General features: G+C 40.1%; 1 protein-coding gene and 1 pseudogene across 14 annotated transcripts in view, besides 2 other annotated features; both read right to left on the bottom strand.

Moving 5' to 3' along the window:
• The window catches only part of ZC3H12B (zinc finger CCCH-type containing 12B), a 473062-nt gene that overhangs the window by 33478 nt on the left and 417062 nt on the right, over positions 1-22522 (bottom strand). The window lies entirely within an intron of this gene.
• Positions 3831-5325, bottom strand: AP1M2P1 (AP1M2 pseudogene 1; annotated as a pseudogene).
• Positions 10456-10984: an enhancer, noted in NCBI's record as "OCT4-NANOG-H3K27ac hESC enhancer chrX:64683306-64683834 (GRCh37/hg19 assembly coordinates)". NCBI's record gives its function as "activates a minimal SCP1, AML or CMV promoter by ChIP-STARR-seq in naive H9 embryonic stem cells {active_cell/tissue: H9 hESC(naive)}" and the evidence as "EXISTENCE:reporter gene assay evidence [ECO:0000049][PMID:30033119]".
• Positions 10527-10821: a silencer, noted in NCBI's record as "tiled region #257; HepG2 Repressive non-DNase unmatched - State 24:Quies". NCBI's record gives its function as "represses a minimal TATA promoter and a strong SV40 promoter by Sharpr-MPRA in HepG2 cells {active_cell/tissue: HepG2}" and the evidence as "EXISTENCE:reporter gene assay evidence [ECO:0000049][PMID:27701403]".

The raw sequence follows: 22522 nt of genomic DNA, 5'->3' as shown, positions 1-22522 counted from the left end.
TTAAAAAAACAGGATCTAGTAATATGCTGTCAATGAGAGTCACTTTAGATTTAAGGGCACACATAAGCTGAGAAGTGAAGGGGTGGAACAAATATTTCATGCAAATGGTCACCAAAAGAAAGCAGAAGTGGTCATACTTATATCAGACAAAATATATTTTATGTTTAAAACTCTAGAGACAAAGAAGGTCAACTATGTAATGATAAAAGGGTCAATTCAGCAAGAAGATAAAACAATTATAAATATATACACACCCAACATCTGAGAACCTAAATATATAAAGCAAATATCAACAGATCTGAAGACAGACATTGACAATACAATAATAGTAGAGGACTTCAATACCCCATTCACAATATCAGATACAGCATTCAGACAGAAAATAAATGAAGAAACATCTGGCTTGAAAAACATTACAAAACAAATGAAACTAATAGACATATATGGAACTTTCTACCCAACAGCAGAAGAATACACATTTTTCTCCAGTACACAGGGAACATTCTCCAGATAGATCACATGTTAGGTCACAAAACAAGCCTTAACAAATTTAATAAGATCAATGTCATTCCAGGTATATTTTCTGACTATAATGAAAAAAACTAGAAAGCAATAACTGCAATATATATGCTATGGGAAACAAGAAAAGGATAACAAGGAAAGGATGAAGATTATCATCACTTCTACTCAACATGGTACTGGAAGTCCTAGCCAGAATAATTAGGCAACAGAAAGAAAGAAGAGGCATCCCAGTCAGAAAGGAAGAAGTTAAATAATCTCTGTAGGTGAAAGACTTATACACTGTAAATTATAAAACATTGATGAAGAAAATTAAATAAGACACAAATGAAAAGACATCCCATATTTTTGGATTGAAAGAATTAATATTGTTAAATGTTAAAATGTCCATACTACCCAAAGTGAGCTATAGAGTAAACGTAATCTCTATCAAAATCCATTGACATTCTTTACAGAAATGGAATACACTCCATAAATCATATGAAACCATAAAAGACCCTGAATAGCCAAAGAAATTTTGGGCAAGAGGAACTACGATGGAGGTATCACACATCTTGATTTAAAAATATATTACATGCTGGGTGTGGTGGCTCATGCCTGTGATCCCAGCACTTTGGGAGGCCGAGGTGGGTGGATCACCTGAGGTCAGAAGTTCAAGACCAGCCTGGCCAACATGGTGAAACCCTGTCTCTACTAAAAATACAAAAAAATTAGCTGGGTGTGGTGGCATGTACCTGTAATCCCAGCTACTTGGGAGGCTGAGGCAGAAGAATTGCTTGAACCCGGGAGGCAGAGGTTGCAGTGAGCCAAGATTGTGCCATTGCACTTTAGCCTGGGCAACAAGAGTAAAACTCTGTCTCAAAAAACAAACAGATATATATATATATATATACATATATATATATATATATATACACACACATACACATACACAAACATATATATATGTACAAACATATATATATACACAAACATATATATAAACATATATATACACAAACATATATATATAAACATATATATACACAAACATATATATATATATATATATATATATATATATATCAAAGGTATGGTAATCAAAACAGTATGGTACAAGCATAAAAACAAACATAGGCCAAAATAACAGAATTGAAAACAGAGAAATAAATCCACATCATTACAGTCAATTGATTTTCTACAAAAATGCCAAGAATGCACAATGGGGAAAAACAGTCTCTTCAATAAACAGTTATGGGAAAACTGAATATCCACATGCAGAATAATGAAGTTGGACTATTATCTCATACTATACAAAAACCAACTCAAATTGGATTAAAGACTTAAACATAAGATACAAAACTGCTGAATTTATAGAAGAAAACAGGAAAAACATCTTGACTTGGTCTGGGCAACGATTTTTTGGGTATGATCCCAGAGGCACAGGCAACAAAACCAAAAGTAGACAAATGGGATTACGACAAACAAACAAAAACAAACAAACAAACAAACAAAAAAAACAAAAAAAACAACTTCTGTACAGTAAAGGGAACAATCAACAGAGTGAAAAGGCAACCTAAAGAAAAGGAGAAAAATATTTGGAAAACATATATCTAATAAAGGATTAACATCCAAAATATATTGAGAACACTTGCAACTCAATAACAATGAAAATAAATAACTCAATTTAAAAATGAATAAAGGACCTAAATAGACACTTCTCCAGATAACACATATACTCAGCAGAAACCTTACAAGCCAGAAGGAACTGGGGTCCTATTTTTAGCCTCTTTAAACAGAATAACTGTCAGCCAAAGATATTTTTATGCAGCAAAACTAAGTTTCATAAATGAAGGAGAAATAAAGACTTCAGACAAGCAAATGCTGAGGGAGTTTTTCACTACCAGACCAATCCTACAAGAAATGCTAAAGGAGTTCTAAAATTTGAAACAAAAGATAGATATGCGCCAGGATACCTCTGAGAGCATAAAACTCACAGGTCCTATAAAATAATAACACAATGAAGAAAACAAAACATCTAAGTAACAATCCTCATAATGACGAACAGTACCTCACATTTCGATATTCACATTGAATAAAATGATCTAAATGTTCCACTTAAAAGATACAGATTGGCAAAATGTATTAAAAAACACAAACCAGCTGGGTGCGGTGGCTTATCCCTGTAATCCCAGCACTATGTGAGGCGAAGGTGGGCAGATCACTTCAGGTCAGGAGTTTGAGACCAGCCTGATCAATATGGTGAAACCCCGTCTCTACTAAAAATATAAAAACTAGCCAGGCATGGTGGTGCATATCTGTAATCCCAGCTACTCGGGAGGCTGAGGCAGGAGAATTGCTTGAACCTGGGAGGGAGAGGTTGTGGTGAGTTGAGACTATGCCACTGCACTCCAGCCTGTGTGACAGAGTGAGACTCTATCTCAAAAAAAAAAAAAAAAAAAAAAATCACAAACCAAATATCTACTGTTTCAAGTGACTCACCTAACATGTAAAGATTCTTATAGACTCAAGATAAATGGGTAGAATAAGATATTACATGCAAATAGAAACTAAAAGCAAGCAGGAGTAACTATTCTTATATCATAGAATAGACTTTAAAGCAACAACAGTTAAAAAAAAGACAAAGAAGGTTATTATATAATGATAAAAGCATCAATCCAACAAGAAGATATATGTACTTAGCTCTGGAGTCCTCAGATTTATAAATCAATGAATAGACTTAAGAGAAGAGAAAGCAACATAATAATAGTGGGGAACTTCAACAATCCACTGACAGCACTAGACAGCTCACTGAAGCAGAAAGTAAATAAAAAAACACTGGACTTTAATTGCACTCTAGAGCAAATGGACCTAAGAGATATTTAAAGAACATTCTACCCCCAAACTGCAGAATATACATTCTTCTCATCAGCACATGGAATATTCTTCAGTATAGACCATATGATAGGCCATAACACAAGCCACAATACATTTAAAAAAATCAAAATCATATCAAGTATCTTCTCAGACCACAGTAGAAAAAAACTAGAAGTCAAGTCCAAAAGGAATCCTCAAAACTATACAAAAATGTGAAAATTAAACAATTTGCTCCTGAATGATTTTTGGGTTAAAAACGAAATCAAGATGTAAATGACATCCTAAAACGCAGACCAGTGGGCCAGCAGGGCCTCTGGGCTCAGCAGCTATGAAGGAGGGACTCACAACACCCCCTAAGGCAGGTCATTGCTAGAAGGCACTCATGAGTGGGTACTTCAAGCCCCTCTTGTATTTCTTCGAATAAAATCAGGGGGACAAGGGAAAGCCCCAAGGGTGAGGGCGGCAGGGAGACTCCTTCCTAGCCTATGGATTAAGGAAGAGTTGAGGAGGGGGCGGGTGCTGGGAACAATAAACTAAGTCCAGAACCCATCCTCACACACACATACACACCCACATTTCCTCCCTCTCTAAAATCTGCAGCAGGGACTATACAGAGGCCCCGTGTGCCAGCCCCCATCTCCTCTCCCTTTCTGGTTGGTAGGAAGTTCCTAATGACCACTCTGCGTGATGTAGGGAAGCCAGGGCAAGACCTGATAACCTCTTTTCTCGATGATCTTCATATATCAGACCTGGATCCCAGAGACCGTGGAGTAGGGGATCTCAAACTTGACCCTAATAAGGGGCCGGCCCTCCACCTCCTTTTTCTCCACTCTAGGGAGGCCAAAGTAGGCTCACATCAGGTACTCCTTGCCCCCTCGGAAGGACTTAATACTTCAAATAACGATGTTTTTCTCCAGCACATACTTGGCGCTGCACACGCTGGTCTTCAGGTGCGGGGAGTCGGCATCGTTGGGTATGGGTACAGACATCTCCACACTATTGGCCACTGACTGTTTCTTAAACTGCCTCTTGGTCTTTTTTGTTTTTTTGTTTTTGTTGTTGTTTTGATATGGAGTCTCACTCTGTCGCCCAGGCTGGAGTGCAGTGGCGCGATCTTGGCTCACTGCAACCTCTGCCTCCCGGGTTCAAGTGATTCTCTTGCCTCAGCCTCCCAAGTAGCTGGGATTATAGGCACGTGTCCACACCCAGATAATTTTTGTATTTTTAGTAGAGACGGGGTTTCACCATGTTGGCTAGGCTGGTCTTAAACTCCTGACTTCAAGTGATCCACCTGCCTCGGCCTCTCAAAGTGCTGGGATTACAGGAGTGAGCCTCCGCGCCTGGCCTGCCCCTTGGTCTTGACAATGATCTCCACAAGGCTGTGGGAGAACTTCCCAAGGACAGAGTCAATCCAGGTCAGTGGCTAGACCTGGGTGCTGAGGCAGTAGTATCTGAGCTCAAAGTCATCAATGGGCGAGATGGTGTGGTCATTGCCAAAGCACGAGAGCAACATGCTGGAATTTTACATCCTCCAGCTTTACCAATTTGTTTTTGTGGCAGCCAGTGAGCTCGAAGAGCATGGAGTCATTGAGGCCCAGCCGCAGCTCTGGCATTCCCGACAGAAACACCTTGAGCTTGATGGTGCCAAAGATCTCACTCAGCAAAATGCTGCCTTTGGCATTGACCAGCAGGTTGGCAGACTCTATAACATCAATGAAGACCTCGTTCTTCTTGTACTTGATGCGCTCGGAGCACCAGGACACAGCGTTGTTGATGGTGAGTGGCACCTTTGACTTGCCCCTTTGCAGCTTGTTGCTCTGCTGTGTGGTGTACTCCTGCAGGATCTTGCTGTTGGTGGTCTGCTAGAAGCCTAAGTCAATGAGCTTGTTCAGTAACTCCTAGGCAATGACAAAGTTGTCCTGGATGCTGTCCTACTCTAGCTCCTTAAAGAGCGAGGTCTTTATCGATGTCATAGAGCCTGCCAAACAGCTGGTTGTATGAAGAAATACAAGAGGGGCTTGATATCCCCCTCGTGAGTGCCTTCTTACAATGACCTGGCTTAGGGGGTATTGGGGGTCCCTCCTTCATAGCTGCTGAGCCCAAAGCCCCACTGGCCCAGTGCTCGGAGTTTTAGGATGTTGTTAAAAAGATGAATCTAACAAATAAGGAAAAAAAAAGAGAGAAAATTTCCATACTGCACAAAGCAATCTACAGATTCAGTGCAATTCCTATCAAAAAATACCAACATCGTTTTTCACAGAATTAGAAAAAACAATCCTAGGCCAGGCGTGGAGGCCGAGGCAGGCGGATCATGAGGTCAGGAGATCGAGACCACAGTGAAACCCCGTCTCTACTAAAAATACAAAAAAAAAAAAAAAAAAAAATTAGCCGGGCACGGTGGCGGGCACCTGTAGTCCCAGCTACTCAGGAGGCTGAGGCAGGAGAATGGCGTGAACCTGGGAGGCGGAGCTTGCAGTGAGCCGAGATGGTGCCACTGCACTCCAGCCTGCGTGACAGAGTGAGACTCCATCTCAAAAAAAAAAAAAAAAGAAAGAAAGAATAAACAATCCTAAAATTCATGTGGAATCAAAAACAAACCCGAATAGTCAAGGCAATCCTAAGCAAAAAGAACAAATCTGGAAGCATCACATTATCTGACTTCAAATTACTCTACAAGGCTATAGTAATCAAAACAGCATGGTAATGGTATAAAAGTAGATACATAGACCAAAGAAAAAGAATAGATAACCCAGAAATGAAGCCAAATACTTACAACCAACTGATCTTCAACAAACCATATGAAAACATAAATTGGGGAAAGTACACCATATTCAATAATTGGTGCTGGGAAAACTAGACAGACACATGTAGAAGAAAGAAACTGGATCTCTATCTCTCACCATCTACAAAAATCAACTCAAGATGGATCAAAGACATAAATCTAAGACCTGACAACATAAAAATTCTAGAAGAAAACACAGGAAAAATACTTCTGGACATTGGCCTAGGCAAAGAAGTTATAACTAAGACCCCTAAAACAAATGCAACTACAACAAAAATAAATGGGACCTAATTAAACTAAAAAGCTTCTGCACAGCAAATGAAAGAATCATTAGAATAAGCAGACAACCCATAGAATGGGAGAAAATATTTTTAAACTATTCATCTGACAAAGACAAAGGACTAATATTCAGAACTACAAGGAACTCACACAAATCAGTAAAAAGAAAAATAAACAATGCCATCAAAAAGTGGGCAAGTGATATGAGTAGACATTTCTCAAAAGGAGATATACAAATGGCCAACAAACATATGAAAAAATACTCAACATCACTAATTGTCAAGGAAATTCAAATTAAAATAACAATAAGGTATCACCTTACCCTAGCTAGAATGGCCATTATTAAAGTCAAAAAGCAAATAGATGTTGGCTTGGATGCAGTGGAAAGAGAATGCTTATATGCTGCTGGTGATAATGTAAATAGTACAATCTCTTTGAAAAATAGTTTGGTGATTTCTCAAAGAACTAAAAGTAGATCTGCCATTCAATCCAGCAATCCCACTACTGGGTATCTATCCAAAGGAAAATAAGTCATTATATCAAAAATATACCTGCACATGTATGTTTATCACAGCACAATTCACAATTGAAAAGATATAGAACCAACATAAGTGCCCACCAACAAATGAGTGGAGAAAGAAAATGTGGTACCTGTATATCATGGAATACTACTCAGCCATAAAAAGAATAATAAAATAATGTCTTTTGCAGCAACTTGGTTGCAGCTGGAGGCTATTATTCTAAGAAAAGTAACTCAGGAATGGAAAACCAAATATCGTATCTTCTCACTTATAAGTGGGAGCTAAGCTATGGGTATGCAAAGGCATACAGAGTAGTATAATGGACACTGGAGTCTCAGAATGGGGTAGATTGTGAGGTTAGTGATGAGAAACTATTACCTGGTACAATGTCCATACTCTAGTGATGGGTGCACTAAAATTTCAGACTTCACCACTATACAATTCATCCATGTAACCTAAAAACACCTGTACCAAGAAAACTATTGAAATATATATATATATATATATATATATATATATATATATATATATATATATTTGGTTTTATATATATAGTTACATATATATAAATATATATAGAACAAAATTAAAAAAATACAAATGCCCAAGAAGTATAAGAAAAGGTGCTCAAAATTATTAATCAGGAAAATGCAAATCAAAAGCACAATGAGATAACACCTCACACCTGTTAGAAAGGCTATTATCAGTATGATGAACTACAACAAGTTTTGGGCAGGAAGTGAAGAAAAGAGAACCTTTGTATACTGTTGGGAGAAATGGAAATTGGAACGCTTTATGGAAAATAGTATGGAGATTCATTTCAAAATTAAAAATAGAATTACCTTACAATCCAGCAATCTCACTTTTGAGTACATAGGCTAAAGAAATAAAATCAGTATCTTGGAAAGAAATCTGCAATCCAATGTTCATTTGAGTATTATTCACAATAGCTGAGATAAAGAGAAAACCTTAATGTCCACTGATGGATAACAGGATAATGATAATGTGAGATCTGTCTATTTATCTATCTAATAATAATAATATGATATATATAGATAATGTGAGAGATGTGAGATGTGAGATATATAATGGAATATTGTTTAGTCCTATAAAAGAAAAAATCATTCTATTTGTGACAACTTGGATGAATCTGGAGGGCATTATTCTAAGTTAAATAAGCAAGATGTAGAAAAATATATACCCCATGATCTCACTTATATGTAGAATCTAAAAATGTCAAACTCACGGAAACAGAGAGTAGAAGAGTGGTTACTGGGGGCTGGAGAGAGGAAGATGTGGGAGGATGTCTGTCAAGGGGTATAAAGTTTTAGTAATAATGAAAGATAAATAAGTTCTGGTGATCTAATGTACAACAATATCACTATAGTTAACAATATTGTATCATATACTTGAAATTTGCTCAGAGGGTAGATTTCAAGTGTGCTCATCACATATAAAAATGATAACTATGTGAGGTGATGGATATGCTAATTAGCTTTTGTGGTGAATATTTTACAATGTGTGTGTACATATATATATGAATATATTATATCAAAAAAATATATATAATCATGAAGTTGTATGCCTTAAATGTATATAACTTAAAAATGTTAAATATACCTAAATAAAGTTGGAAAAAATAAAAGATGTTAATATAACCTGCAGAATAATCTCTATGAAAATAACTCAAAAATATAATAAAAGAGATAAGAGATTAAAATGGTACACTAGAAAATCACTATTCAACACAAAATAAGGCAGTATTGGAGGAAAAGAGTAACACAAATAATCATAATACATATAGGAAATAGAAAGCAAAATAGCAGAAGTCCTTCAAAATCAGTAATTACCTTCAATGTAAATGAATTAAACTCTCCAATTAAAAGACACAAATTGGAAGAATGAATTAAAAGACATGATCCAAATAAATGCTGTCTGCAACAGACATACTATAGGTTAAAAGGCACAAATAGGGTGGAAGTAAAAGAATGGAAAAAGATATGCCATGCAAACAGTAGCAAAAAAAGAGCTGGAATGGCTATACTAGTATCAAATAAAATACACTTTGAGAAAAAAATGTTACTAGAGAAAAAAAGTGGCACTTTATAATCATAAATGGATCAACCAGTCAAGAAGACAATGAAATTATAAATATATATGTACCTAGTAACACAGCCCCAAAATACATAAAGCAAAACCAGACAGAACTGAAAGGAGAAACCAACAATTCAACAATAATATTTGAGGTCTTTAATACTCTCTTTCAATAATGGAAATACCAACTAAGCAGAAGATTAATAATAAAACAGGTGATTTCAACATTTCTACAAACCAACTAACCACAACAGAAATCTACAGAACATTACATCTGACAGCTGCAGAATGCTCATACTCCTCAAATACATATGGTAATATGTTAGGGCATACATAAGCCTCAATAAATTTAAAAAGATTGAAATAATATAAATTATGTTCTCTCTAAAATGAAATTAAATATAAAATTAATAATGAAAGGAAGTTTGCAAAATTCAAAAACATGAAAAATATGTGGAAATCAATCAGATGATTCTAAATAATCAGTGGCTCAAATCAGAAACCACAAAGGAGATTAGAAAATACTTTGAGATTAATCAAAACCAAACCACATTATACCAAAATTTAGGAAATGCAGCAAAACAGTGCTTAAAGAAAAGTTTTCTACCTATAAAAACCGACATTAAAAATAATAAAAATGTCAAGTCAATAACCTAGCCACTCACCTTAAGAAACAAACAAACAAAATCACAACAAAAGAAACTAAACTCAAGGAGAATGAAGAAAATAATAAATATTAGAACATAAATAAATACATATAATAAAACAGAATAAATCAATAAAAAGTAGTTTGTTTGACAAGATCAATAAAATTGACAAACCTTGGCTAGATTGACAGAGATTAAAAAAAAGGAGACATAAATTACTAAAATCAGGAATAAAAGGGGATATTACTGCTGAACTTACAGAAATAAAAATTATTATATGGAAATGCTATAGTATGAATATTTGTATTCCAACCAATTATATAATTTAGACAAAATGTCCAAATTCCTAGAAAGACAAAATACTAAAACGGACTCAGGAAATGACTTGAAATCTAAACAGACCTATAATAAGTAAAGAGATTGAATTCATAATCAAAAAACATAAGAACCCAGTTAGGAAGTCAAAGTATCCCAGGGAAGCTCAAAGCTAAGAACAGCTGCATTGAAATAGGTATGAAAATGCTTTTAATTTTATCCATATCAGGCCCTCTCTCAGGTTAACACATCTCCCATTGGGAGCAAAAGTCCAACATACATTTTCTCCTTTGAGAGAGTAAGAAAATAGTAGAACATTTATCTAACATTCTGACTTTTTGGGAAGCTGCTGTTTTTGTCTCACCTGACTAAAACAACTTATGGGAAACAGGAATAATTTGGATGGTTAGGAGCCACTAAGAAAAAAGAGGGCCCAGCAGCTGTGGCAGCACCAAATAACTTGTAACAACACAGACAGAAGCTGATACAGCTTGGCAAAACTGGGAAAAAGCAACTAGCTCATGGCTTCAGCAGTGGGAGAAGAGAAAAGTGAAATGTGTATTCAATGGTCTGGCTTCTCGGGGAGCTGCCTAAAAAGACTGGTTTCTGTCTTGCGTGACTTAGAGTGGTGATAAGAAACCAGCATATTTTGAATGCCTGGGAGACACTGAAAACAAAAGAATGCGCAGTGGGAGACACATATACAAAAGAGAAGGTGATGTAATGACAGAACAGGGAAAGATGCAGTTACAAGCTTAGGAATGCCAACAGTCACCAAAAGCTGGAGAGGCAAGGAAGGGATTCTCTCTTATAAACTCCGGAAAGAGTGCAGCCCTGCCAGCACCTAGATTTCAGACTTCTGGCCTCCAGAATTGTGAGAAAATAAATTTCTATTGACCGAGTTTGTTACAGCAACCTCAGGAAATGAAAATAAGAAACTTTCTGAAAGCCCACTGATTCACTTTTTATTTTTTAAAAGGAATCATAGATGACATAAACAAATGGAAAAACATCCCATGCTCATGGGTGGGTAGAATCAATATTGTGAAAATGACCATACTGCCAAAAGCAATCTACAAATTCAATGCAATTCCCATAAAAATACCACCATCATTCTTCTCCATTTATTTTAGATTCAAGGGGTACTTGTGCAGCTTTGTTACATGAGTATATTACATTATGCTGAGGTTTGGGGTATGTTTAATCCCATTACCCAGGTAGTGAGCATAGTACTCAAGAGTTAGTTTTTCAACCCTTCCCCACATTTCTTCCTCCCTCTTCTAGTAGTCCCCAGTATCTGTTGTTCCCATCTTTATGTCCATGAGTACTCAATGTTTAGCTCCCACTTATGTGTGAGAACACATACTCTTTGGTTTTCTGTTCCTGCATTAATTCACTTAGGATAATGGCCTCCAGAAGTATCCATGTTGCTGCAAATGAAATGATTTTATTCATTTTTACGGCTGTGTAGTATTCCATGGTGTATATACACCATATTTTCTATATCCAATCCACCATTGATGGACAACTAGGTTGATTCCATGTCTTTGCTATTGTGAATAGTGCTACAATGAACATGCGAGTGCACGTGTCTTTTTGGTAGAATGATGTGTTTTCTTTTGGATATATACCCAGTAATGGGATTACTGGGTCAAATGGTAGTTCCATTTTAAGTTCTTTGAGAAATCTCCAAACTGCTTTCAACAGTGGCTGAACTAATTTACATTCCCACCAACAGTGTGTAAGCAAGAACCTGCCTTCTAAGGTCAAGCTATGCTTCCTTCAAGCTACACAACTTCAGGGATGTCTTTTAAGTTCTCTGAGCAAATAAAACATTACTTTTAATGTATCTGATTAATGAAGTTTTTTATTCTATTTTATTTTATTTATTTTTTTGAGACGGCGTCTTGCTTTGTCCCTCAGGCACAGTGGCGTGATCTCACTGCAAATTCCACCTTCCCCGTTTAAGCAATTCTCGTGCCTCAGCCTCCCGAGTAGCTAGGATCACAGGCGCCTGTCGCTACGCCCGGCTAAGTTTTGTATTTTTTAGTAGAGATGGGATTTCACCATGTTGGCCAGGCTGGTCTCAAACTCCTGACCTCATGTGATCCACCCGCCCTGGCCTCCCAAAGTGCTGGGATTACAGGTGTGAGCCACCGTGCCCGGCCTTGAAGTTTTTAAAAATGAGGTTATACCCAGTGCATAATAGGGTGAAGAAATAGGCACCTAAATATGCTCTTGGTGGCATTTTATTATATTTTTAATAGGCAATTGAATCATATTTATTATGGTGGATTGGAAAAATAGCCAAGTTCTTTTGATCTTTTTTTCTTCAGTGTTATAATTAACCACATCATTTATTTAATTTTTCTAAGGTAGAGCTTTTTATATTTTATTTATTTATTTATTTTTTATTTCTATAGGTTTTTGGAGATCAGGTGGTGTTTGGTTATATGACTAAGATTTTTAGTGGTTATTTCTGAGATTATTCTTTTTTTAAAATCCTGAATTATTTGAGTATAAATTTTTTTTTATTATTTTATTTTTTTTATTATGCTTTTAGGGTACATGTGCACAACGTGCAGGTTTGTTACATATATATACATGGGCCATGTTTGTGTGCTACACCCATTAACACATCACTTAACATTAGGTATATCTCCTAATGCTATCCCTCCCCCCTACCTAGACCCCACAACAGGCCCTAGTGTGTGATGTTGCCCTTCCTGTGTCCATGTGTTCTCATTGTTCAATTCCCACATATGAGTGAGAACATTTGGTGTTTGGTTTTTTGTCCTTGTGATAGATTGCTGAGAATGATGGTTTCCAGCTTCATCCCTGTCCCTACAAAGGACAAGAACTCATCCTTTTTTATGGGTGCATAGTATTCCATGGTGTATATGTGCCACGTTTGCTTAATCCCGTCTATCATTGTTGGACATTTGGGTTGGTTCCAAGTCTTTGCTATTCTGAATAGTGCCACAATAAACATACGTGTGCATGGGTTTTATAGCAGCATGATTTATAATCCTTTGGTTATATACCCAGTAATGGGATGGCTGGATCAAATGCTATTTCTAGTTCAAGATCCCTGAAGAATCGCCACACTGACTTCCACAATGGTTGAACTAGTTTAGTCCCACCAACGTGTAAAAGTGTTCCTATTTCTCCACATCCTCTCCAGCACCTGTTGTTTCCTGACTTTTTAATGATCACCATTCTAAGTGGTGTGAGATGGTATCTCACTGTGGTTTTGATTTGCATTTCTCTGTTGGCCAGTGATGATGAGCATTTTTTCATGTGTCTTTTGGCTGCATAAATGTCTTCTTTTGAAAATTGTCTGTTCATATCCTTTGCCCACTTTTTGATGGGGTTGTTTTTTTCTTGTAAATTTGTTGGAGTTCATTGTAGATTCTGGATATTAGCCCTTTGTCAGATGAGTAGGTTGTGAAAATTTTCTCCCATTCTGTAGGTTGCCTGTTCACTCTGGTGGTAGCTTCTTTTGCTGTGCAGAAGCTCTTTAGTTTAATTAGATCCCATTTATCAATTTTGGCTTGTGTTGCCATTGCTTTTGGTGTTTTAGACATGAAGTCCTTGCCCATGCCTATGTCCTGAATGGTATTGCCTAGGTTTTCTTCTAGGGTTTTTATGGTTTTAGGTCTAACATTTAAATCTTTAATCCATCTTGAATTAATTTTAGTATAAGGTGTAAGGAAGGGATCCAGTTTCAGCTTTCTACATATGGCTAGCCAGTTTTCCCAGCACCATTTATTCAATAGGGAATCCTTTCCCCATTTCTTGTTTTTGTCAGGTTTGCCAAAGATCAGATTGTTGTAGATATGTGGTACTATTTCTGAGGGCTCTGTTCTGTGCCATTGGTCTATATCTCTGTTTTGGTACCAGTACCATGCTGTTTTGGTTACTGTAGCCTTGTAGTATAGTTTGAAGTTAGGTAGTGTGATGCCTCCAGCTCTGTTCTTTTGGTTTAGGATTCACTTGGCAATGCAGGCTGTTTTTTGGTTCCATATGAACTTTAAAGTAGCTTTTTCCAATTCTGTGAAGAAAGTCATTGGTAGCTTGATGGGGATGGCATTGAATCTATAAATTACCTTGGGCAGTATGGCCATTTTCATGATATTGATTCTTCCTACCCATGAGCATGGAATGTTCTTCCATTTGTTTGTATCCTCCTTTATTTTGTTGAGCAGTGATTTATAGTTCTCCTTGAAGAGGTCCTTCACATCCCATGTAAGTTGGATTCCTAGGTATTTTATTCTCTTTGAAGCAATTATGAATGGGAGTTCACTCATGATTTGGCTCTCTGTTTGTCTGTTATTAGTGTATAAAAATGCTTGTGATTTTCATACATTGATTTTGTATCCTGAGACTTTGCTGAAGTTGCTTATCAGCTTAAGGAGATTTTGGGCTGAGATGATGGAGTTTTCTAGATTTACAATCATGTCATCTGGAAACAGGGACAATTTGACTTCCTCTTTTCCTAATTGAATACCCTTTATTTCCTTCTCCTGCCTAATTGCCCTGGCCAGAACGTCCAACACTATGTTGAATAGGAGTGGTGAGAGAGGGCATCCCTGTCTTGTGCCAGTTTTCAGAGGGAATGCTTCCAGTTTTTGCCCATTCAGTATGATATTGGCTGTGGGGTTGTCATAAATAGCTCTTATTATTTTGAGATAAGTCCCATCAATACCTAATTTATTGAGAGATTTTAGCATGAGGGACTGTTGAATTTTGTCAAAGGCCTTTTCTGCATCTATTGAGATAATCATGTGGTTTTTGTCATTGGTTCTGTTTATATGCTGGATTACATTTATTGATTTGCATATGTTGAACCAGCCTTGCATCCCAGGGATGAAGCCCACTTGATCATGGTGGATAAGCTTTTTGATGTGCTGCTGGATTCGGTTTGCCAGTATTTTATTGAGGATTTTTGCATCAATGTTCATCAGGGATATTGGTCTAAAATTCCGTTTTTTTGTTGTGTCTCTGCCAGGCTTTGGTATCAGGATGATGCTGGCCTCATAAAATGAGTTAGGGAGGATTCCCTCTTTTTCTATTGATTGGAGTAGTTCCAGAAGGAATGGTACCATCTCCTCCTTTTACCTCTGGTAGAATTCGGCTGTGAATCCATCTGGTCCTGGACTTTTTTCGGTTGGTAAGCTATTAATTATTGCCTCAATTTCAGAGCCTGTTATTGGTCTATTCAGATTCAACTTCTTCCTGGTTTAGTCTTGGGAGAGTGTATGTGTCGAGGAATTTATCCATTTCTTCTAGATTTTCTGCTTTATTTTCCTAGAGGTGTTTATAGTATTCTCTGATGGTAGTTTGTATTTCTGTGGGATCAGTGGTGATATCCCATTATCATTTTTTATTGCATCTATTTGATTCTTCTCTCTTTTCTTCTTTATTAGTCTTGCTAGCAGTCTATCAATTTTGTTGATCTTTTCAAAAAACCAGCTCCTGGATTCATTGGTTTTTTGAAGGGTTTTTTGTGTCTCTATTTCCTTCAGTTCTGCTCTGATCTTAGTTATTTCTTGTCTTCTGCTAGCTTTTGAATGCGTTTCCTCTTGCTTCTCTAGTTCTTTCAATTGTGATGTTAGGGTGTCAATTTTCGATCCTTCCTGCTTTCTCTTGTGGGCATTTAGTGCTATAAGTTTCCCTCTACACACTGTTTTGAATGTGTCCCAGAGATTCTGGTATGTTGTGTCTTTGTTCTCATTGGTTTCAAAGAACATCTTTATTTCTGCCTTCATTTCGTTAGGTACCCAGTAGTCATTCAGGAGCAGGTTGTTCAGTTTCCACATAGTTGAGCGGTTTTGAGTGAGTTTCTTAATCCTGAGTTCTAGTTTGATTGCACTGTGGTCTGAGAGACAGTTTGTTGTGATTCCTGTTCTTTTAGATTTGCTGAGGAGTGCTTTACTTCCAACTATGTGGTCAATTTTGGAATAAGTGTGGTGTGGTGCTGAGAAGAATGTATATTCTGTTGATTTGGGGTGGAGAGTTCTGTAGATGTCTATTAGGTCTGCTTCGTGCAGAGCTGAGTTCAATTCCTGGATATCCTTGTTAACTTTCTGTCTCATTGATCTGTCTAATATTGACAGTGGGGTGTTCAAGTCTCCCATTATTATTGTGTGGGAGTCTAAATCTCTTTGTAGGTCTCTAAGGACTTGCTTTACGAATCTGGGTGCTCCAGTATTGGGTGCATATATATTTAGGATAGTTAGCTCTTCTTGTTGAATTGATCCCTTTACCATTATGTAATGGCCTTCTTTGTCTCTTTTTTTTTTTTTTTTAATTTTTTTTTTTTTTTTTTTTTATTGATCATTCTTGGGTGTTTCTCGCAGAGGGGGATTTGGCAGGGTCATAGGACAATAGTGGAGGGAAGGTCAGCAGATAAACAAGTGAACAAAGGTCTCTGGTTTTCCTAGGCAGAGGACCCTGCGGCCTTCCGCAGTGTTTGTGTCCCTGGGTACTTAAGATTAGGGAGTGGTGATGACTCTTAACGAGCATGCTGCCTTCAAGCATCTGTTTAACAAAGCACATCTTGCACCGCCCTTAATCCATTTAACCCTGAGTGGACACAGCACATGTTTCAGAGAGCACAGGGTTGGGGATAAGGTCACAGATCAACAGGATCCCAAGGCAGAAGAATTTTTCTTAGTACAGAACAAAATGAAAAGTCTCCCATGTCTACTTCTATCCACACAGACCCGGCAACCATCCGATTTCTCAATTTCTTCCCCACCCTTCCCGCCTTTCTATTCCACAAAACCGCCATTGTCATCATGGCCCATCCCCAGTGAGCCGCTGGGCACACCTCCCAGACGGGGTCGTGGCCGGGCAGAGGGGCTCCCCACTTCCCAGTAGGGGCGGCCGGGAAGAAGCGCCCCTCACCTCCCGGATGGGGCGGCTGGCCGGGCGGGGGGCTGACCCCCCCACCACCCTCCCGGACGGGGCGGCCGGCCAGGCAGAGGGGCTCCTCACTTCCCAGTAGGGGCGGCCGGGCAGAGGCGCCCCTCACCTCCTGGATAGGGCGGCTGGCCGGGTGGGGGGCTGACCCCCCCACCTCCCTCCATCCCGGACGGGGTGGCTGCCGGGCGGAGACGCTCCTCACTTCCCAGACGGGGTGGCTGCCGGACGGAGGGGCTCCTCACTTCTCAGACGGGGCGGTTGCCAGGCAGAGGGTTTCCTCACTTCTCAGACGGGGCAGCCGGGCAGAGACGCTCCTCACCTCCCAGACAGGGTTGCAGCCCAGCAGAGGCGCTCCTCACATCCCAGACAGGGCGGCGGGGCAGAGGTGCTCCCCACATCTCAGACGATGGGCGGCCGGGCAGAGACGCTCCTCACTTCCTAGATGGGATGGCAGCGGGGAAGAGGCGCTCCTCGCTTCCTAGATGGGATGGCGGCCAGGCAGAGACGCTCCTCACTTTCCAGACTGGGCAGCCAGGCAGAGGGGCTCCTCATATCCCAGACGATGGGCGGCCAGGCAGAGACGCTCCTCACTTCCCAGACGGGGTGGCGGCTGGGCAGAGGCTGCAATCTCGGCACTTTGGGAGGCCAAGGCAGGCGGCTGGGAGGTGGAGGTTGTAGCGAGCCGAGATCACGCCACTGCACTCCAGCCTGGGCACCATTGAGCACTGAGTGAACGAGACTCTGTCTGCAATCCCGGTGCCTCGGGAGGCCGAGGCTGGCTGATCACTCGCGGTTAGGAGCTGGAGACCAGCCCGGCCAACACAGCAAAACCCCGTCTCCACCAAAAAAAAAAAACGAAAACCAGTCAGGCGTGGCGGCGCGCGCCTGCAATCGCAGGCACTCGGCAGGCTGAGGCAGGAGAATCAGGCAGGGAGGTTGCAGTGAGCCGAGATGGCAGCAGTACCGTCCAGCTTTGGCTCGGCATCAGAGGGAGACCATGGAAGGAGACTGTGGAGACAGGGAGAGGGAGAGGGAGAGGGAGAGGGAGAGGGAGAGGGAGAGGGAGAGGGAGAGGGAGAGGGAGAGCTCTTTGTCTCTTTTGATCTTTGTTGGTTTAAAGTCTGTTTTATCAGACTAGGATTGCAACCCCTGCCTTTTTTTTGTTTTCCATTTGCTTGGTAGATCTTCCTCCATCCCTTTATTTTGAGCCTATGTGTGTCTCTGCACGTGAGATGGGTTTCTTGAATACAGCACACTGATGCGTCTTGACTCTTTATCCAGTTTGCCAGTCTGTGTCTTTTAATTGGAGCATTTAGCCCATTTACATTTAAGGTTAATATTGTTATGTGTGAATTTGATCCTGTCCTTATGATGCTAGCTGGTTATTTTGCTCGTTAGTTGATGCAGTTTCTTCCTAGCCTCGATGGTCTTTACAATTTGGTATGTTTTTGCAGTGGCTCATACCATTTGTTCCTTCCCATGTTTAATGCTTCCTTCAGTAGCTCTTTTAGGGAAGGCCTGGTGGTGACAAAATCTCTCAGCATTTGCTTGTCTGTAAAGGATTTTATTTCTCCTTCACTTATGAAGCTTAGTTTGGCTGGATATGAAATTCTGGGTTGAAAATTCTTTCCTTTAAGAATGTTGAATATTGGCCCCCACTCTCTTCTGGCTTGTAGAGTTTCTTCCAAGAGATCAGCTGTTAGTTTGATGGGCTTCCCTTTGTGGGTAACCCGACTTTTCTCTCTGGCTGCCCTTAATATTTTTTCCTTCATTTCAACTTTGGTGAATCTGACAATTATGTGTCTTGGGGTTGCTCTTCTCAAGGAGTATCTTTGTGGCATTCTCTGTATTTCCTGAATTTGAATGTTGGCCTGCCTTGCTAGATTGGGGAATTTCTCCTGGATAATATCCTGCAGAGTGTTTTCCAACTTGGTTCTATTCTCCCTGTGACTTTCAAATACACCAATCAGACATAGATTTGGTCTTTTCACATAGTCTCATATTTCCTGGAGGCTTTATTCGTTTCTTTTTATTCTTTTTTCTCTAAACTTCTCTTCTCGCTTCATTTCATTCATTTGATCTTCAATCACTGATACCCTTTCTTCCAGTTGATCGAATCAGCTACTGAGGCTTATGCATTTGTCACGTAGTTCTTGTGCTGTGGTTTTCAGCTCCATCAGGTCCTTTAAGGACTTCTCTGCATTGGTTATTCTAGTTAGCCATTCGTCTAATCTTTTTTCAAGGTTTTTAACTTCTTTGCCATGGGTTCAAACTTCCTCCTTTAGCCCAGAGTAGTTTGATCTTCTGAAGCCTTCTTCTCTCAACTTGTCAAAGTAATTCTCCATCCAGCTTTGTTGCATTGCTGTTGAGGAGCTGCATTCCTTTGGAGGAGGAGAGGTGCTCTGATTTTTAGAATTTTCAATTTTTCTGCTCTGTTTTTTCCCCATCTTTGTGGTTTTATCTACTTTGGTCTTTGATGATGGTAATGTACAGGTGGGGTTTTGGTGTGGATGTCCTTTCTGTTTTTTAGTTTTCCTTCTAACAGTCAGGACCCTCAGCTGCAGGTGTGTTGCAGTTTGCCGGAAATCCACTCCAGACCCTGTTTGCCTGGGTATCAGCAGTGGAGGCTGCAGAACAGCGGATATTGGTGAACAGCAAATGTTGCTGCCTGATCTTTCCTCTGGAAGTTTTGTCTCAGAGGAGTACCCGGCCATGTGAGGTGTCAGTCTGCCCCTACTGGGGTGTGCCTCCCAGTTAGGCTACTTGGGGGTCTGGGACCAACTTGAGGAGGCAGTCCGTCCATCCTCCGATCTCCAGCTGCGTGCTGGAGAACCACTACTCTCTTCCAAGCTGTCAGACAGGGACACTTAAGTCTGCAGAGGTTTCTGCTGCCTTTTATTTGGCTATGCCCTGCCCCCAGAGGTGGAGTCTACAGAGTCAGTCAGGCCTCCTTGAGCTGTGGTGGGCTCCACCCAGTTCACGCTTCCCAGCTGCTTTGTTTACCTACTCAAGCCTCGGCAATGGTGGGCGCCCCTCCCCCTGCCTCACTGCCGCCTTGCAGTTTGATCTCAGACTGCTGTGCTAGCAATGAGCGAGGCTCTGTGGGTGTAGGACCCTCCGAGCCAGGCGTGGGATATAATCTCCTGGTGTGCTCTTTGCTAAGACCGTCGGAAAAGCACAGTATTAGGGTGGGAGTGACCCAATTTTCCAGGTGCTGTCTGTCACCCCTAGGAAAGGGAGTTCCCTGACCCCTTGTGCTTCCCAGGTGAGGTGATGCCTCGCCCTGCTTCAGCTCAGGCTTGGTGCACTGCACCCACTGTCCTGCACCCACTGTCTGACAATCCCCAGTGAGATGCACCTGGTACCTCATTTGGAAATGCAGAAATCATTTGTCTTCTGCGTCACTCACGCTGGGTGCTGTAGACTGGAGCTGTTCCTATTCGGCCATCTTGGCTCCACCCTTTCTGAGATTTTTCATGCACTCATCACCCGAGCAGTGTACACTGTACCCAATGTGTAGTCTTTTGTCTCTCACCCCCCTCCCATCCTTTCCTCCAAGTCCCCAAAGTCCATTGTATAATTCTTATGCCTTTGCATCGTTATAGCTTAGCTCCCACTTATGAGTGAGAACATATGATGTTTGGTTTTCCATTACTGAATTACTTCACTGAGAATAATGGTTTCTAATTCCATCCAGGTTGCTGCAAATGCCATTATTTTATTCCTTTTTGTGTGTGTGTGACATGGTCTCACTCTGTCACCTAGGCTCGAGGCTCGAGTGCGGTGGCATGATCTCGGTTCACTGCAACCTCTGCCTCCTGTGTTCAAACAATTATCCCACCTCAGCCTCCCGAGTAGCTGGGACTACAGGCGTGCACCACCACACCCAGATGATTTTTGTATTTTTTGGTAGAGAAAGTGTTTCACCATGTTGACTAGGCCGATCTTGAACTCCTGATCTCAGGTGATCCACCTGCCCTGGCCTCCCAAAGTGCTGGAATTACAGGCATGAGCAACCGCACCTGGTCTCGTTCCTTTGCATGGCTGATTACTATTCTATTTTATATATATATATATATATATATATATATATATATATATATATATGCATTTGAGCTGGTTCCATATTATTGCAATTGAGAATTGAGAATTGTGCGCCTATAAACATGTGTGTGCAACTGTCTTTTTCATATAATGGCTTCTTTTCCTCTGGATACATATAGAGTAGTGGGATTGCTGGATCAAATGGTAGTTCTACTTTCTATTTTGGCTTTATTTCTGAGTTCTCTATTCTGTTCCATTGGTCTATGTGCCTATTTTTATACCAGTACCATGCTGTTTTGGTGATGATGGCCTTATGGTATAATTTGAAGTCAGATAATGTGATGCCTCCAGCAGATTTGATCTTTTTGCTTAGTCTTGCATTGGCTATGTGGGCTCTTTTTCGGTTCCATCTGTGCCTTAGGATTGTTTTTTCTAGTTCTGTGAATGATGGTGGCATTTTGATGGGAACTGCATTGAATTTGTAGATTGCTTTTAGCAGTATGTTCATTTTTACAATATTGATTTTACCCATCCATGAACATGGTGTGTGTGTGTGTGTGTGTGTGTGTGTGTGTGTGTGTTTAGATGGAGTCTCACTCTGTTGCCCAGGCTGGAATGCAATGGCACTATCTTGGCTTGCTGTAACCTCCACCACTCAGGTTCAAGCAATTCTCCTGCCTCAGCCTCCCGAGCAGCTGGGATTACAGGCACCTACCACTACGCCTGGCAAATTTTTGTATTTTTAGTAGAGATGGGGTTTCACCATGTTGGCCAGGCTGGTCTTGAATTCCTGACCTCAGTTGATCCACCCACCTCGGCCTCCCAAAGTGTTGGGATTACAGGCGTGAGCCACCACGCCCAGCCAGTATGTGTTTTCATTTGTTTGTGTCATCTATGATTTCTATCAGCAGTGTTTTGTAGTTTTCCTTGTAGAGGTCTATCACCTCTTTGGTTAGGTATATTCCCAAGTGTTTTTTTTTTTTTCAGCTATTGTAAAAGTGGTTGTGTTCTTGATTTGATTCTCAGCTTGGTTGCTGATGATGTATAGCATAGCTAATGATATGTGTACATTAATTTTGTATCCTGAAACTTTGCTGAATTCATTTATCAGTTCTAGCAGCTTTTTGGAGGTGTCTTTAGGGTTTTCTAGGTATACAATCATGTCATCAGCAAACAGTGATCGTTTGACTTCCTCTTTACTGATTTGGATGCCTTTTATTTCTTTCTCTGGTCTGATTGCCCTGGCTAGGACTTCCAGTACTATATTGAATAGAAGTGGTGAGAGTGGGCAACCTTGTCATGTTCCAGTTCTCAGGGGGAATAGAAATCCCATTAGTTTGACACTGGAGTATTCACTTTTTCCTTATGAAAGACCCACAACTGGCTCTTCAAGATTTACTTTGAAATCTCATTTCAACCTAGCTCTGACCATCAACGCTGAAACCATTATTTCACCTATATGTCCAAATCAATAAAGCCTCTCCATAAAGAAAAAAAGCAGCAGCAGCTCAGTGGCTTGTTGTACTGCCAGAGAA

The sequence above is a fragment of the Homo sapiens genome, chromosome X (genome assembly GCF_000001405.40).
Source record: "Homo sapiens chromosome X, GRCh38.p14 Primary Assembly".
NCBI classification, from domain to species: domain Eukaryota; kingdom Metazoa; phylum Chordata; class Mammalia; order Primates; family Hominidae; genus Homo; species Homo sapiens.
Note: the sequence above shows the minus strand (reverse complement) of the source record. Positions and strands in the feature narration are given on the sequence as shown.